At 48.4% G+C, this 15,875-nt stretch overlaps 1 protein-coding gene across 9 annotated transcripts in view; it reads right to left on the bottom strand.

Annotated features, from left to right (window-relative positions):
* NWD1 (NACHT and WD repeat domain containing 1) overlaps positions 1–15,875 on the bottom strand; it is a 98,117-nt gene that overhangs the window by 78,178 nt on the left and 4,064 nt on the right. For 8 of the 9 annotated variants that reach the window (XM_011527929.2, XM_024451466.2, XM_011527930.3 and 5 more), the window contains 3 exons: positions 15,323–15,420; positions 8,508–8,594; positions 3,036–3,152 (listed from right to left, as the gene is read on the bottom strand). In XM_011527929.2, the coding sequence (XP_011526231.1) occupies positions 3,036–3,152; positions 8,508–8,588 (198 nt within the window). In that variant the 5' untranslated portion in view covers positions 8,589–8,594; positions 15,323–15,420. Of the gene's footprint in view, positions 1–1,493; positions 1,561–3,035; positions 3,153–8,507; positions 8,595–15,322; positions 15,421–15,875 lie in introns of those variants that run through there. The other variant, NM_001347994.1, reaches the window with a different exon arrangement.

Below are 15,875 nucleotides of genomic sequence, written 5' to 3'. Positions count from 1 at the left end.
AGACAGGAGCCTCTCTAAAAGGAAGTGCCATGGGGAGCTGTCCCCGGCCTCGGTGCTGCCTAATGACTTATTTACCAGAGAGACACCTCTCCAAGGGCCTCCAGCACATCTCTGATTTTTGTGGAAGGCGCCCCCACAAATCAGAGTCATGGAGCAGAATGATGCTGTGGCTCTTGGGCAGTAGAGGGGTGATGCCTGGTTCAAGATGGAAGCAGGAAGGAAGTCCAGCTCAGCTGGCCATAGGGCCTTTCTGGAAGGTCCCAGGGCCGGTTGGTCAGGCCCCAGAGAAGCTCAGAGATCACCCCTAGGTTCTCTGTGCAATCAGAAAGCTGCACTGTGCTTTTGGCTGCCTGCAATTTGGGTTGCAAAATCAGATTCCTCCTGGAGTTCTTTGTCTCCCTTCTTTTCCCTTTCTTCCTTAAAAAAATAATTTTTTTTTTTTTTTTTTTTTTTTTTGGTAGAGATAGGGTCTCACTATGTTACTCAAGCTGGTCTTGAACTCCTGGGCTCAAGTGATCCTCTCATCTCAGCCTCCTGAAGTGCGGGATTACAGGCATGAGCCACCATGGTCAGCCTCTCTCTCCTTTTTTTTTTTCTTGGAAACTCATTAAAATGATCATTGGGCTCCTTTGAAAAATTAAACTTAGGAGACTGGAAATTTAGGAGATTTACAACAGAATGTAGAGTTTTCCAAACATTAGGATATATTTTAAAGCAGTAATAAATAAAACAGAGTGGCACCAAATTACAATAGAAGTGTAGATCAAAAGAATAACTGTAATCCCAGCTACCCAGGAGGCTAAGGCTGGAGGATTGCTTCAGTCCGGGAGTTCAAAACCAGCCTGGGCAACATAGCAAGACCTTGTCTCAAAGAAAAAGGAGTGAAATATATATATATATAATATATAATGTATTATATATTATAGATAATGTATTATATATAATATATAATGTATACATTATATATTATACATATAATAGTATGTTATATGTTATTATATATTATATATTATATATCATTATATTATATATATATAATATATATATTATATATAGATTATATATATATGTTTTGCCCATTATTCCTGGCTCATAATTCCCAAAGCCCTTGTTACAGTCTTTCGTTATAATGTTGGGACACTTTAGGTCTCAGAAAATAGATCTCAGAAAATAGAATATCTCTCTGGCCCTCACCTTCTCCTTTTTTTTTTTTTTTTTTGACAGAGTCTCCGTCTGTTGCGCAGTCTGGAATGCAGTGGCACAATCTCGGCTCACTCCAACCTCTGCCTCCCAGTTTCAAATGATTATCCTGCCTCAGCTTCCCAAGTAGCTGGGATCACAGGCATGTGCCACCACGTCTGGCTAATTTGTGTATTTTTAGTAGAGATGGGGTTTCACCATGTTGCCCAGGCTGCTCTCAAACTCCTGACCTCAAATTGTCCACCTGCCTCAGCCTCCCAAAATGCAGAGATTACAGGAGTGAGCCACCATACCTGGCCATGGTACTTTTCTTTACTTTTTCCCTCTTTACTGTCCAGGACAGGGATCAGCACATTTCTCCTGGAAAAAGTCAGACAGTCAATACTTTTGGCTTTACAGGCCAGATGGTCTCTGTCAGAACGACTAAACTCTGCCATTATAGCTTGAAAGCAGGGCTAAACAATGTGTAAACAAGTGGACATGGCTGTGTGCCAATAAAGCTTTACTTACAAAGACAGGCAGCAGGCCACACTTGCCTTTCAGGCTATAGCTTGTTGGCCTCTGCTCTAGAATTTCTTTTCTTTTCTTTTCTTTTCTTTTCTTTTCTTTTCTTTTCTTTTCGAGATAGAGTCTTGCTCTGTCGCCCAGGCTGGAGTACAGTGGCATGATCTCGGCTCACTGCAACCTCTGCCTCCCAGGTTCAAGCAATTCTCCTGCCTCAGCCTCCCAAGTAGCTGGGATTACAGGCACGTGCCACCATGCCCAGCTAATTTTTTAGTAGATATGGGACTTCACTATGTTGCCCAGGCTGGTCTCAATCTCCTGACTTCATGATCCACCCACCTTGGCCTCCCAAAGTGCTGGGATTACAGGTGTGAGCCACCACGCCCGGCCCCCTGCTCTAGAATTTCTAAGGAAAATGTGATCGTTCTTGGATGTATCTGGAACTCGATGTAATAAATTAGGACTCAGGCCAGCCTGGGCAACATAGCAAGACCCATCTCAAAAAAAAAAAAAAACTTAAAACTAGACCAGGTGCATTGGCTTATGCCTGTAATCCCAGAACTTTGGGAGGCCAAGGTGGGAGGATCACTTGTGCCTAGGAGTTCAAGACCAGCCTGGGCAACATAGTGAGACCCCATATTTCCAAAAAAATACTAGCCAACTGTGGCGGCACACACCTGTAGTCCCAGCTACTTGGGAGAACAAGGCAGGGAGATCAGAAGCCCAGGAGTTCAAGGCTGTAGTGAGCCATGATCTTGCCACTGCACTCTAGCCTGGGCTTTTTTGAGACTCTGTCTCAAAAAAGAAAAAGAAAAAAGACTCAGGAATATCATTCAATTTTAATAGCCAAAACCATTAATTGTGGACTGGAGATTGATTTTTTGATAGAAGGGGTGCAATTGGAAGAGAGAGGGGAGAAGTCCCCACGACCTGAAACCAGTGGGCACATGGAGGAAAAAAAATATCCCAAGACCCTGTGGGTTTCCACCTTTTCCATGGCTTTCCAGGATCCCAAAGTTCTATAGACATAAAGTGGAGGGGGTGGGGAAGGTGGGAGAAAGTCCAGATCAAATTCCAAGATTCCTTCTGGCTTCAACATTCTACTCTCCAAGCCACCTGCTGCTTCCATTTGACTGCTAATGTCTGGATCCCATTCAGCTCTGCAGAAAGAGTTCTGTGATTGATTAGTAATGTCTGCCACAGGCAGGCCATAGGGATAAGGTACGAAAGCAGAAACGGTACCTACTTCCCTCTGCTGATCAGTTTGTCTAGAAAGCAGGGGGCATATCCTGGAGGAGTAAGAGCTAACCCATTCCTCCCAAGACACTCACAACAAAAGCTGGCCCTATGGATGTTTTCCAACACCGGTCAACCTCCTCCAAGCAGAGTTCTGTGGTCAAGTGGTCAGTGGCTTCAATGTTCCGAATACCCCACCTCAGATCAACGACCTGGGAAATAGAAACACAAGTTTGTCAGAGAGGTGGCATGACAGGTGATTTGTTTTTTCAATCCCTTTTGACAAAGCAGAAAGTTTCTTTCAAAAATTTTTGACAGCCTCTTCCTGTAGGGGGATGTCTGGATTAAAAGAACTTGAACCAAATTCATAACCTCAGTATAATCATGAGAAAAATAACAGACAGACCCAGACTAGAGGGAAGGGCGTTCTTCAAGATGCCCTGCCAGTCAAAGCCAAGCATGGTGGTGGGCACCTGTAGTCCCAGCTACTCGGGAGGCTGAGGTAGGAGGATCAATTGAGCCCACAAGGCAGAGGTTGCAGTGAGCTCTTATTGTACTACTGCATGCCAGCCTGGACAGCAGAGCCAGGCTCTGTCAAAAGAAAGAGAGAGAGGAAGGTAGGAAGGAAGGAAGGAAAGAAGGAAGGAAGGAAAGAAGGAAAGAAGGAAAGAAAAAGACTGCCAAGGTCATGAGAAATAAGGTGACTGAGAAATTGACACAGACCAGAGGAGACTAGGGCAATAAGACAACGAAATGCAATGGGGTACCCTGGATGGGGTTCTTCACCAGAAAAGACTTAGATAGAAGAGCTGGCAACATTTGAATAAAGTCAGGAGGTTAACAGTCATGTACCAATGTTGATTTATCTTTTTTTTTTTTTTTGAGTTGGAGTCCTGCTATGTCACCCAGGCTAGAGTGCAGTGGCGCAATCTTGTCTCACTGGAAAATCCTTCCTTCCTTCCTTCCTTCCTTCCTTCCTCCTTCCTTCCTTCCTTCCTTCCTTCCTTCCTTCCTTCTTTCCTTCCTTCCTTCCTTCCTTCCTTCCTTCCTTCCAGTGGCATGATCTTGGCTCATTGTAAATTTTGCCTAATGGGTTCAAGCGATTCTTATGCCTCAGTCTCCTGAGTAGCTGGAACTACAGGCGCACACCACCATGCCTGGCTAATTTTTTGTATTTTTAGTAGAGATAAGGTTTCACCATATTGGCCAGGCTGGTCTCGAACTCTTGACCTCAGGTGATCCACCCACCTCGGCTTCCCAAAATGCTGGGATTACAGGCATGAGCCACTGCCCCCAGACTGATTTCTTTCTTTCTTTCTTTCTTTTTTTTTTTGGTCAGGGGGACAGAGTCTTGCTCTGTCACCCAGGCTGGAGCTTAGTGGTGCACTCTCAGCTCACCACAACCTCCGCCTCCCGAGTTCAAGCAATTCTCCTGCCTCAGCCTCCCGAGTAGCTGGGATTACAGGCGTGCACCACCACGCCTGGCTAATTTTTTTGTATCTTTATTAGAGATAAAGTTTTGCTATGTTGGCCAGGCTGGTCTCAAACTCCTGATCTCAAGTGAACTGTCTGCCTCAGCCTCCCAAAATGTTAGGATTACAGGCACGAGCTACTGCACCTGTCCTCAAAGTTCATTTCATAGTTGTAACAACATAGTTGGTTGTGCTGTGGTTAGGTAAAACGTTAGGAGACACAGAGTGTGGGGTGTATGGGAACTCCGTACTGTCCATGCGTTTCCTGTAAGCCTAAATTCCAAATTCAGAAGTTTATTTATAAACATTTAGTCGGGCACGGTGGCATGTGCCTATAATCCCAGCTACTCTGGAGGCTGAAGCATGAGGATTGCTTGAACCCAGGAGTTCAAGACCAGGTTGGGCAATGTAGCAAGACCTCATCTCTAAAAAAATAAAAATTAAGAAATAAAAAAGCAAGTTAATTAAAATAAAAAAATTAGAACAGAGGCAGGGCAAAGTGGCTTACCCCTATAATCCCAGCACTATGGGAGGCTGAGGGAGGAGGATCTCTTGAGGCCGGGAGTTTGAGACCAGCCTGAACAATATAGGGAGACATTGTGTCTACAATAAATAAATAAATAAATAAATAAATAAATAGCCAGGTGTAGTGGTGTGTGCCTGTAGTCTCAGATACTTGAGAGGCTGAGACAGGAGGATCACCTGAGCCCAGAAAGCTGCAGTGAGCTGTGATTGCATGCCTGCACTCCAGCCTGGGTGACAGAGCGACACCCTGTTGCAAGAAAAACAGAAAAAGAAAAAAGAAAAAAAAAAAGAAAGAAAATCTTTTTTTTTTTTTTGAGATGGAGTCTTGCTCTATCACCCAGGCTGGAGTGCAGTGGCGCAATCTTGGCTCACTGCAAGCTCCGCCTCCCGGGTTCACGCCATTCTCCTGCCTCAGCCTCCGGAGTAGCTGGGACTACATGCCCGGCTAATTTTTTGCATTTTTTAGTAGAGATGGGGTTTCACCGTGTTAGCCAGGATGGTCTCAATCTCCTGACCTCGTGATCTGCCTGTCTCGGCCTCCCAGAGTGCTGGGATTACAGGCATGAGCCACCTCGCCCTGACAGAAAAGCTTTTTTAAAAAAGGAACTTGGCCATTTTCAAACTGTTGCTTTGAAAGCAAGGACGTGTCCACACTTGTTCACAAAGCTTTCCTTGCAAAGGAGGGTGTTTAGTTTGGCCAGCACTGGACGTACCAAGGTCTCCTTGGCAACCGCACGCTTGCAGTTCATTTGTGCCTGCTCGCCATGGGGAGGCTGGGCAGAACAGCTCAGTTCAGGTAGGCAAAGCTGACCCTGTGGAAGGCTGGGGTGACAGGGAGACAAAGACAACTCGGAACAGTCCCTGCCTCCCTGAATTCTTTAGCACCGAGAGAAAGACACATAGATTCTTAAGACAAGTGGTGAGAGGCCAGCAGTACTCAATGTGACTGGAGGAAGAAAGGGGGAGGAACAATGAGTTAGAGGAGCAGGAAAGGAAAAGGGGTCAGGAGCCAGCCTCTGGAAGGAGCTTGTGCTTCTGGAGGGACCGCCGTCTCCCGATGTGCGTGTGGAGGATGTTGACAGCATCCGCGTCAGAGGACGGGCATGGGCATTAAACAGAAAAGCTTGACCATTTCATCAGCTCTCAGTGCTGATGCTTCCATAGTGCCTTTGACATTGAACTATGTCTCATGATCAATGGTGGGCAGAGTGGAATTTCCAGCACTGCTTCTTTCTTAGTAATAAATATACAAACCATAACGATCATGCATCTTTTTCCTTTTCTTTTCTTTTTTACCCAAAGAGCCACTTGATTTTTTTTTTTTTTTTGAGACAGAATCTCATTCTGTTGCCTAGGCTGGAGTGCAGTGGCGTTATCTCGGCTCACTGCAACCACCACCTCCCAGGTTCAAGCAATTCTCCTGCCCCAGCCTCCCGAGTAGCTGGGATTACAGGTGCGTGTCACCACATCTGGGTAATTTTTGTATTTTTAGTAGAGAGGGGGTTTCACCATGTTGGCCAGGCTGGTCTCGAACTCCTGGCCTCAGGTGATCTACCCGCCTTGGCCTCCCAAAGTGCTGGGATTACAGGCATGAGCCACTTCGCCCGGCCCAGATTTTTTTTTTTTTAAAGACAGCATCCCAATCTGGCACCCAGGCTAGAGTGCAGTGGCTCCATCACAGCTCACTGCAGCCTCAAACTCCTGGGTTCAAGTGATCCTCCCACCTCAGCCTCCCCAGTAGCTGGGACTACAGGTGGGCGTCACCACACCCAGCTCATTTTTTTAATTTTATAGAGACGGGATCTTGTTATATTACCCAGACCGGTATCAAACTCCTGGCCTCCAGCAATCCTCCTGCCTTGGCCTCCCAAAGCACTGGGAATACAGGTGTTAGCCACTGTGCCCGGCCTCATCTTTTAACCAAATGGGACTTTGGTGCAATGAATCATTCTCATAAGCAGCAAGGAGGCAGCCCTCAAGTTAAGCTGAGACTCCAAAGATGTTCATCAGTTTCCACAGGGAAATGTGCAGGCAGAAACATCCCCGGTTAGCCAGGGATAGCGCTGCATGTCTGTAGTTTCAGCTCCTCAGAAGGCTGAGACAGGAGGATCCCTTGAGCCCAGAAGCTCAAGGTTGCAGTGAGCTGTGAGATCACACCACTGCACTTTTTCACTTTTTCTTTTTTTTTTTTTTTGAGATGAAGTCTTGCTCTGTCATCCACTGGACCTCATCTGAAAAAAAAAAAAAAATTCCCTAGCCAGGGATTGGTACAAGGAGACAGCATTAGGGGCTCCTACTGTTTTGGGACTGTGCCAAACAGGTACACCATCAGCGTTCTAGAAAAAGGCATGTCCAACCTCCATGCCCATCCCCCATATCGCAAAGCCCTCTTATACTCCTCCTGAAGCCCAGTACGAAGAGGGCCAGGAAGCTCTGAAGGCAAGACAAAAACAGCAGCAACAACAACAGACAGTTAAATGACATGTCCAAGGTCACACTGCAAGGGACACAGCGATGAATCTGTGTTCAAAAGCATTCACTCCTACTCACTTTTCTACACCACCTGCCATGCTAACCAAGCACGGTGCACATGGCTGTAACCCCTCCATCTGCCTTTTTTTTTTTTTTTTTTGAGACGGAGTCTCACTCTGTCACCCAGGCTGGAGTACAGTGGCTTGATCTCAGCTCACTGCAATCTCTGCTTCCCAAGTTCTGGCGATTCTCCTGCCTCAGCCTCCTGAGTAGCTGGGACTACAGGCATGAGCCACCACGCCCGGCTAATTTTTATATTTTTAGTAGAGACAGAGTTTCATCATGTTGCCTAGGCTAGTCTCGAGTTTCTGACCTCAAGCGATCTGCCCGCCTTTGCCTCCCAAAGTGCTGGGATTACAGGTGTCAGCCACCGCGCCCAGTCCCACCTGCCTTTTTATAGTCCCAAGGATTTTTATCTCCAGGGCCAGATCTCCAGGACCAACTACAGAATCTACGGGGCTCGGTGCAAAAAGAACATGTGGGACCTTTGTTTAAAAATCACTGTGAATTTTAAAACTCAACAGTAAAGCATTAAAAGAGTATGGATAGAGGGGCGTGGTGGCGGGCACCTGTAATCCCAGCTACTCAGGAGGCTGAGGCGAGAGAATCGCTTGAACCCTGGAGGCCAAGGTTGCAGTGAGCTGAGATTGCACCATTGCACTCCAGCCTGGGTGGCAGAGCGAGACTCTGTCTCAAAAAAAAAAAAGCATGGGGCTGGGCTCAGTGGCTCACGCCTGTAATCCCAGCATTTTGGGAGGCCGAGGCGGGCAGATCACAAGGTCAAGAGATCAAGACCATCCTGGCCAACATGGTGAAACCCCGTCTCTACTAAAAATACAAAAATTAGCTGGGCGTGGTGGCGCACGCCTGTAGTCCCAGCTACTCAGGAGGCTGAGGCAGGAGAATCGCTTGAACCCGGGAGGCAGAGGTTGCAGTGAGCCGAGATCGCACCACTGCACTCCAGCCTGGCGACAGAGCAAGAACTACGTGTCAAAAAAAAATAAAAAAAGCATGGAGCCCGGAGTGACTTCCAGTTACCTCAAACATCAAGCCGTGCCTCTGGCAGAAGGTCTGGCACTTCAGGGTAGGCAGTGCTCTGCAGGGCTTCCCTCTCTGCATCCATATCTGCAAGGAAGGGCATGGAGGGTATTAGTGGAAAGGACTCAGAACTCTTCCCAGCCTCATAGCTCTGCTTTTATTTTATTGATTTACTTTTGTCTTTTTTCCCCTTTTTTGTGGAGAATGGGATCTCGCTATGTTGCCCAGGCTGGTCTCGAGTTCCTGGCCTCAAGAGATTCTCTCTCCTCTGCCTCCCAAAGTGTTGGGATTACAGGCGTGAGCCACTGCGCCTGGCCTGCGGCTAAAGCCTCATCTGCTGCCACCATCTCAAAAAAAAAAAAAAAAAGAAAGAAAGAAAAATAAAAAAAATCGCAATAGGCAGTTATTTTATTTATTTTGTGGAGTCTCCTTATGTTTCCTAGGCTGGTCTTGAACTCCTGGACTCAAGCCATCTTCCCACCTCAGCCTCCCAAAGTGTTGGGATTACAGACATGAGCCACCATACCCAGCCCTGTATATATTTTTAAAAAAATGTTTTTTAAGGGACAGGTCTCACTCCATCACCCAGGCTGGAGGGCAGTGGTGCAATCATAGCTCACTGTAACCTCAAACTCCTAGCATCAGTCAATCCTCCCACCTCAGCCTCCTGAGTAGCTGGGATTATAGAGGGGCACCACCACAGCCATATATATTTTTTTAAATTTTTTGTAGAGAAGGAGTCTCACTATGTTTTCTAGGCTGGCCTCAGACTCCTAGGCTCAAGCAATCCAATTGCTTTGGCCTCTCAAAGCACTGGGATTACAGGAGTGAGCCACTGTGACCAGTGGATTATATCTTGTTTGCCATTGTACCCCTTATGCTTAACCAAGGGGCACAATAAATAAATACATAAATAGATTTTGGGTTTTTTTTTTGTTTTTTTGTTAGTTTGTTTTTTGAGACGAAGTCTTACTCTGTCACCAGGCTGGAGTGCAGTGGCGTGATCTCAGCTCACTGCAACCTCTGCCTCCTGGGTTCAAGCAATTCCCCTGCCTCAGCCTCCCAAGTAGCTGGGATTACAGGCGTGCACCACCACACCTGGCTAATTTTTTGTGTTTTAGTAGAGATGGGGTTTCATCATGTTGGCCAGGATGGTTTCAATCTCCTGACCTTGTGATCTGCCCACCTCGGCCTCCCAAAGTGCTGGGATCACAGGCGTGAGCCACTGCGCCCGGCCCATAAATAGTTTTAAAAAGTACTTGCAGTTTGTGAAGAGTGCTATTGAAAACACACGGGTGGGCTGGGCTAGAGAATAACAGGGACAAATCTTTCTTTCTTTTCCTTCTTTCCTTCCTTCCTTCCTTCCTTCCTTCTCTCTCTCTTTCTTTTCTTTTCTCTTTTTTTATTTTTTGAGACAGAGTCTCGCTCTGTGCCCAGGCTTGAATGCAGTGGCACAATCTCGGCTCACTGCAACCTCCGCCTACCAGATTCAAGGGATTCTCCTGCCTCAGCCTCCTGAGTAGCTGGGATTACAGGCGCACACCACCACACTGGGCTAATTTTTGTATTTTTAGTAGAGACGGGGTTTCACCATGTTGGCCACGCTGGTCTCAAACTCCTCACCTCAGGTGCCTCGGCCCCCTAAAGTACCGGGATTACAGGTGTGAGCCACTGCACCCAGCCTATTTTTTTTTTTTTTTTACTTTTTGTAAAGATGGGGCCTCGCCATGTTGCTCAGGCTGGTCTTGAACTCCTGAGCTCAAGCAATCTGCCCACTTCAGAGGGACAAATCTACTTTACATCGAGGGGCAGAGAAGGGCTCCCTGAAGACGGGGTGTTTGCACTGAGACCCAAAGGATCAGAATAAGAAGGAGAAGAGGGAACCGTGAGAGTGATAGTCCTGATATGGGCCCCAGGGCCTTGTGGGTTCCCGGATCTATGGATTCTGGTGTGGATATGACAGGTAGACAAGGGAGTGACCACATGAGATAAGGTTGGGGAGGTGAGCAGGGTCCGGTCACACAGGGCCATGCAGCTGTGGCAAGGTTCTGGCAGTTTTTAAGCCTGACACACAGTACATTGGTCATAAATATTAGTTGTAACATCGTATGCCACTCACAGCAACTCTATCAAGTTGGGTTCTCAGTCTGGCTTCTCGAGGAGGAAACAGAGGGTCCAGGAGGCTCCCACATGAGTCACTACCTGAGCTGCATTCACATCATAGAGGTTTCCCAATTCTCCCACCTCGGCCTCCCAATGTGCTGGGATTGCAGGTGTGAACCACCACACCTGGCCCACAAGCTGCAATTACTTATTTTTTTTTTTTTTTTTTTTTGAGATGGAGTCATGCTCTGTTGCCCAGGCTGGAGTGCAGTGGCATGATCTCGGCTCGCTGCAAGCTCCGCCTCCTGGGTTCACGCCATTCTCTTGCCTCAGCCTCCCGAGCAGCTGGGGCTACAGGCGCCCGCCACCACGCCTAGCTAATTTTTTGTATTTTTAGTAGAGACAGGGTTTCACTGTGTTAGCCAGGATGGTCTCAATCTCCTGACCTCGTGATTCGCCCGCCTCGGCCTCCCAAAGTGCTGGGATTACAGGTGTGAGCCACTGCACCCGGCCTGCAATTACTTAATTTATGTGTCCATTCCCCGAACCAGGATGTAATTTCTATGAGAGCACATATACATGGAGTGGTGTGGCCAGGCATGGTGGCTCACGCCTGTAATCCCAGCACTTTGGGAGGCTGAGTGGGGCAGATGACCTGAGGTCAGGAGTTTGACACCAGCCTGGTCAGCATGGTGAAACCCCATCTCTACTAAAAATACAAAAATTAGTCAGACATGGTGGCAGGTGGCTGTAATCTCAGCTGCTCAGGAGGCTGAGGCAGGAGAATCCCTTGAACCTGGGAGACAGAGGTAATAGTGAGTCCAGATCGCACCACTGCACTCCAGCCTGGGCGACAGAGTGAGACTCCATCTCAGAAAAAAAAAAAAAAAAAAAGAGCAGTGACCCAGCAAATGTTCCATAATACTCTGTTCTCCAAAACAAATTTTTTTAAATCCGATTTGTATTTTCTGCCAATTTCCGTGGTTTAAATGCTCCACCCTGGTTAATATCAAGTTGCCAACTGACTTCACTGAATGTGGAGTTAGGCAGTGCTGTGTAGCTGCATGCTATTATCTAATATCTCCTTTTTGAGTTTTTGGTTTATTTTGTTTCTTGAGACAGAGTCTTGCTCTGTTGCTCAGGCTGGAGTGCTATGGCGCGATCTTGGCTCACTGCAACCTCTGCCTCCCAGGTTCAGGGATTCTCCTGCCTCAGCCTCTCAAGTAGCTGGGATTACAGGCACCCACCACTACGCCCAGCTAATTTTTTGTATTTTTAGTAGAGACAGGGTTTCGCCATGTTGCCCAGGTTGGTCTTCAACTCTTGACCTCAAGTGATCCACCCGCCTCAGCCTCCCAAAGTGCTGGGATTACAGGCGTGAAACACAGTACTTGGTTCACGTCTAGGTCTCTTAAAGGACTCCATGAGCTGTGCCCATTGCCCTGACACCGCCTGAGCGTGCCAACCTGCCTCTGAGCCCCCATCCATACCCTGCACCTTACCTGAGACTGTGGAACTGATGAAGATGGTCACACCGCTGGGTGGAGGTGCTGGGAGGGGGCCGGCTTCACCCCGCAGAAGCCGCCGGCGGGTACTCGGGCTGAGAGGGCCCACGCTCATTGCCGCCCACCCACCAAGATGACCCTTCCCCTGGAAAGGGCGTGGGGCTCAGAGACCTCACGCCAGCAGCCAGGCAGCCTTCCTGGTAGGCCAGCCGGGCAGGGCCATCAGGAACGGGGAGCCAGTTTCACCTTCCGAGGCTCCCCCAGTGACCTGCAGCCCCCACCACCTCCAGTGCCTCTGGGGAGCTGAACCAGCTCCTCTCCACTGCTTTCCTTGGTCTGCAAGCACTCATGGAGGGATATTAGACAGTGGCCTCCCCGCCAAGACCTCTGGATGTTGGCTCCTCTAGGCACGGGAGTCCTCTTCCCAGCTCCTCGTCCTCAGAGCGCAGTAGTCACCATAGCAACTATGGTTTCCCAGTGCTGGGCATTGGGGCCCGGGGACCAGCCAACCTCTTGAACACCTGGGTCCCCTGGGGCCTACCCGTGTAAGTTGAGCCTGAGCCCAGGTGTGCAGAGGAGAGGCTGGGAGCCATGCCCAGCCCCACAGCCCAGACAAGAAAGACAACCGCTTGACGAAAGTCCCACCCCATTCTGCCCTTCCCACCCCCTCCCACGAGGCAAAGTCCTTCCACGTCCAGGCACCGCACATACTATTTCAACCAGCAGTTCTCACTTGGGGACCATTCAGCCCCCAGGGGACACTTGCAATGTCTGGAGACCTTTCCAGTTGCCACGACTGGAGGATGCTACTGGCATCACGTGGGTGGAGACCAGGGATGCTGCTCAACATCTAACAATGCCCAGGAAGCCCCCACAAAGAATGATCTGTTCCCAGTTGTCAGCAGTGTTGAAAAACTGAGAAACCAGTTTTAGGCCAGGTGCAGTGGCTCACACCTATAATCCCAGCACTTTGGGAGGCCGAGGTGGGTGGATCACTTGAGGTTAGGAGTTCAAACCAGCCTGGCCAACATGGTGAAACCCTGTCTCTATGAAAAATACAAAAATTAGCCAGGTGTGGTGGCGCAGGCCTGTAATCCCAGCTACTTGGGAGGCTGAGGCAGGAGAATCGCTTGAACTCAGGAGGTGGAGGTTGCAGTGAACTAAGATCACACCACTGCACTCCAGCCTGGTGACACAGCAAGACACCATCTCAAAAGAAAAAAGAAAAAAAGAAAGAAAACAGTTTAAAATCAATTCTAGTAGCTGAGCACAATGGCTTGTTCCAGTAATCCCAGCTATTCCAGAGGCCAGGGCAGGAGGATCTCTTGAGCCAGCAGTTCAAGGCCAGCCAGGGCAACACAGTGAGCCCTCATCTCTGCAAAAAAAAGTTTTTTAAAAATAGAGCCATGGGCCAGGAGCTGTGGCTCACGCCTGTAATCCCAGCACTTTGGGAGGCCGAGGTGGGCAGATCACCTGAGGTCAAGAGTTCGAGACCAGCCTGACCAATGTGGAGAAACCCTGTCTCTTCTAAAAATACAAAATTAGCCGGGTTTGGTGGTGCATGCCTGTAATCCTAGCTACTCCGGAGGCTGAGGCAGGAGAATCACTTGAACCTGGGAGGCAGAGGTTGCAGTGAGCCAAGATCGTGCCACTGCACTCCAGCCTGGGCAACAAGAATGAAACTCTGTCTAAAAAAAAAGCAAAAAAAAACAAACAAAAAAAAAACAATGTAGCTATGGCATGATGGTGCCTGCCTGTTGTCCCAGCTACTTGGGAGGCTGAGATGGGAGGATTGCATGAGCCCAAGAGTTCAAGGCTGCTGTGAGCTACAATCACGTGCCTGTAATCCCACCGCTTTGGGAGGCCAAGGTAGATGGATCACTTGAGGTCATGAGTTCAAGACCAGCCTGGCCAACATGGTGAAACCCCATCTCTACTAAAAATACAGAAATAAGCCAGGCATGGTCCTGAGCCCCTGTAGTCCCAGCTACTTGGGAGGCTGAGGCGGAAGCATCGCTTGAACCTGGGAGGCGGAGGTTGAAGTGAGCCAAAATCATGCCACTGCATTCCAGCCTGAGTGACAGAGGGAGACTCCATCTCAAAAATAAATAAATAAATAAATGAACAATAAAATTAAATAAATAAATAAACTCTAGCTAGTTATCTTTGCCTGCAGGAGGTTTGTTGTTAGGTGATACAGAGTCTTGCTCTGCCACCCAGGCTGGAGTGCAGTGGTGTGATCATAGCTCACTGTAGCCTCGATCTCCTGGGCTCAAGTGATCCTCCCATCTCAGCCTCCCAAGTAGCTGGGACTACAGGTGTGCACCATCACGTCTGGTTAATTAAAAAAAAAAAAATTTGTGTAGAGTCTGGGCCCAGTGGATCATGCCTATAATCCCAGCACTTTGGGAGTCCAAGACAGGCGAATCATTTGAGCCTAGGAGTCTAGGATCAGCCTGGCCAACCTTGCTTCTACTAAAAATACAAAAATTAGCTGGCCATGGTGGTGCACGCCTGTAGTCCCAGCTATTCGAGAGGCTGAGGCATGGGAATTGCGTGAACCTGGGAGGCAGAGAGGTTGCAGTGAGCCAAGATCATACCACTGCACTCCAGCCTGGGCGACAGAGTGAGACCCCGTCTCAAAAAATAAAAAAATAAAAAATAAATAAAAATTTTTGGCTAGGCATAGTGGCTCACGCCTGTAATCCCAGCACTTTGGGAGGTCGAGGTGGGTGGACCACCTGAGGTCAGGAGTTCCAGACCAGCCTGGCCAACATGGTGAAACCCCATCTCTACTAAAAATACAAAAAATTAGCTGGGTATGGTGTCACATGCCTGTAGTCCCAGCTACTTGGGAGGCTGAGGCAGGAGAATTACTCGAACCTGGGAGGCAGAGGTTGCATGAGCCAAGATGGCGCCATTACACTCCAGCCTGGGCAATAGGAGCGAAACTTCGTCTCAAAAAAAAATATTTTTTTTGTAGAAATGGGGTCTCACTGGGTTGAGTTCAAGGCTGGAACTTGGCAGGCTCCTGCCAACAAACGATCCTCCCACCTGAGCCTCCCAAAGTGCTGATATTACAGGTGTGAGGCCCCACGTCCAGCCATGATCTGACATTATTGAAAATGCCCTGGCGACCTGAATCCTGCCCAACCTCTTCACAACAGTAGCAAACCACCGCTGGAGGCAGAGAGAACACGCGTATACCTTGGCATCCGTGAGCCTGGTTGGAATGCCGGCTCCTCCATCGCCCTCCTGGAGGACTTAAGCAAGTGGTCTCCCTCCCAGGGCATCGGCCGCATGGTCTGTGAAATGAAAGTAAGAGCCATTCAGGGCGCTTGTCTCTGCAGCAATATATGAGGTAGTGCAATGTGTTAGCAGATCAAAATTAATGCCGAAAATATCCACCTTGAACAAAACATCAACAAGGCGGTTGGGAGATAGGTCTATAAAATGCCCAGCATTAGTGAGCTCTCAACAAAACAGTGATATTGATTCTACTGGGTCAACTGTATTTTCAAACCTTTGTGTCTTTGCTCTTACTATCCTCTCTGCCTTGACTTCCCTTCCCTGCCTTGTCCACCCAGGACAGACTCTGCCATTGAGGGATTCCCCAAGAGCACCCTCAAGCTCCATGATTCCTTAGGACTCAGAGAATTTAAAAATGGTGTCATAGCCCAGGCGAGATGGCTCACGCCTGTAATCCCAGGACTTTGGGAGGCCAAGGCGGGCCGATCACTTGAGGTTAGGAGTCGGAGAC

This window comes from Homo sapiens, chromosome 19, assembly GCF_000001405.40.
Source record: "Homo sapiens chromosome 19, GRCh38.p14 Primary Assembly".
Classification (NCBI taxonomy): domain Eukaryota; kingdom Metazoa; phylum Chordata; class Mammalia; order Primates; family Hominidae; genus Homo; species Homo sapiens.
Note: the sequence above shows the minus strand (reverse complement) of the source record. Positions and strands in the feature narration are given on the sequence as shown.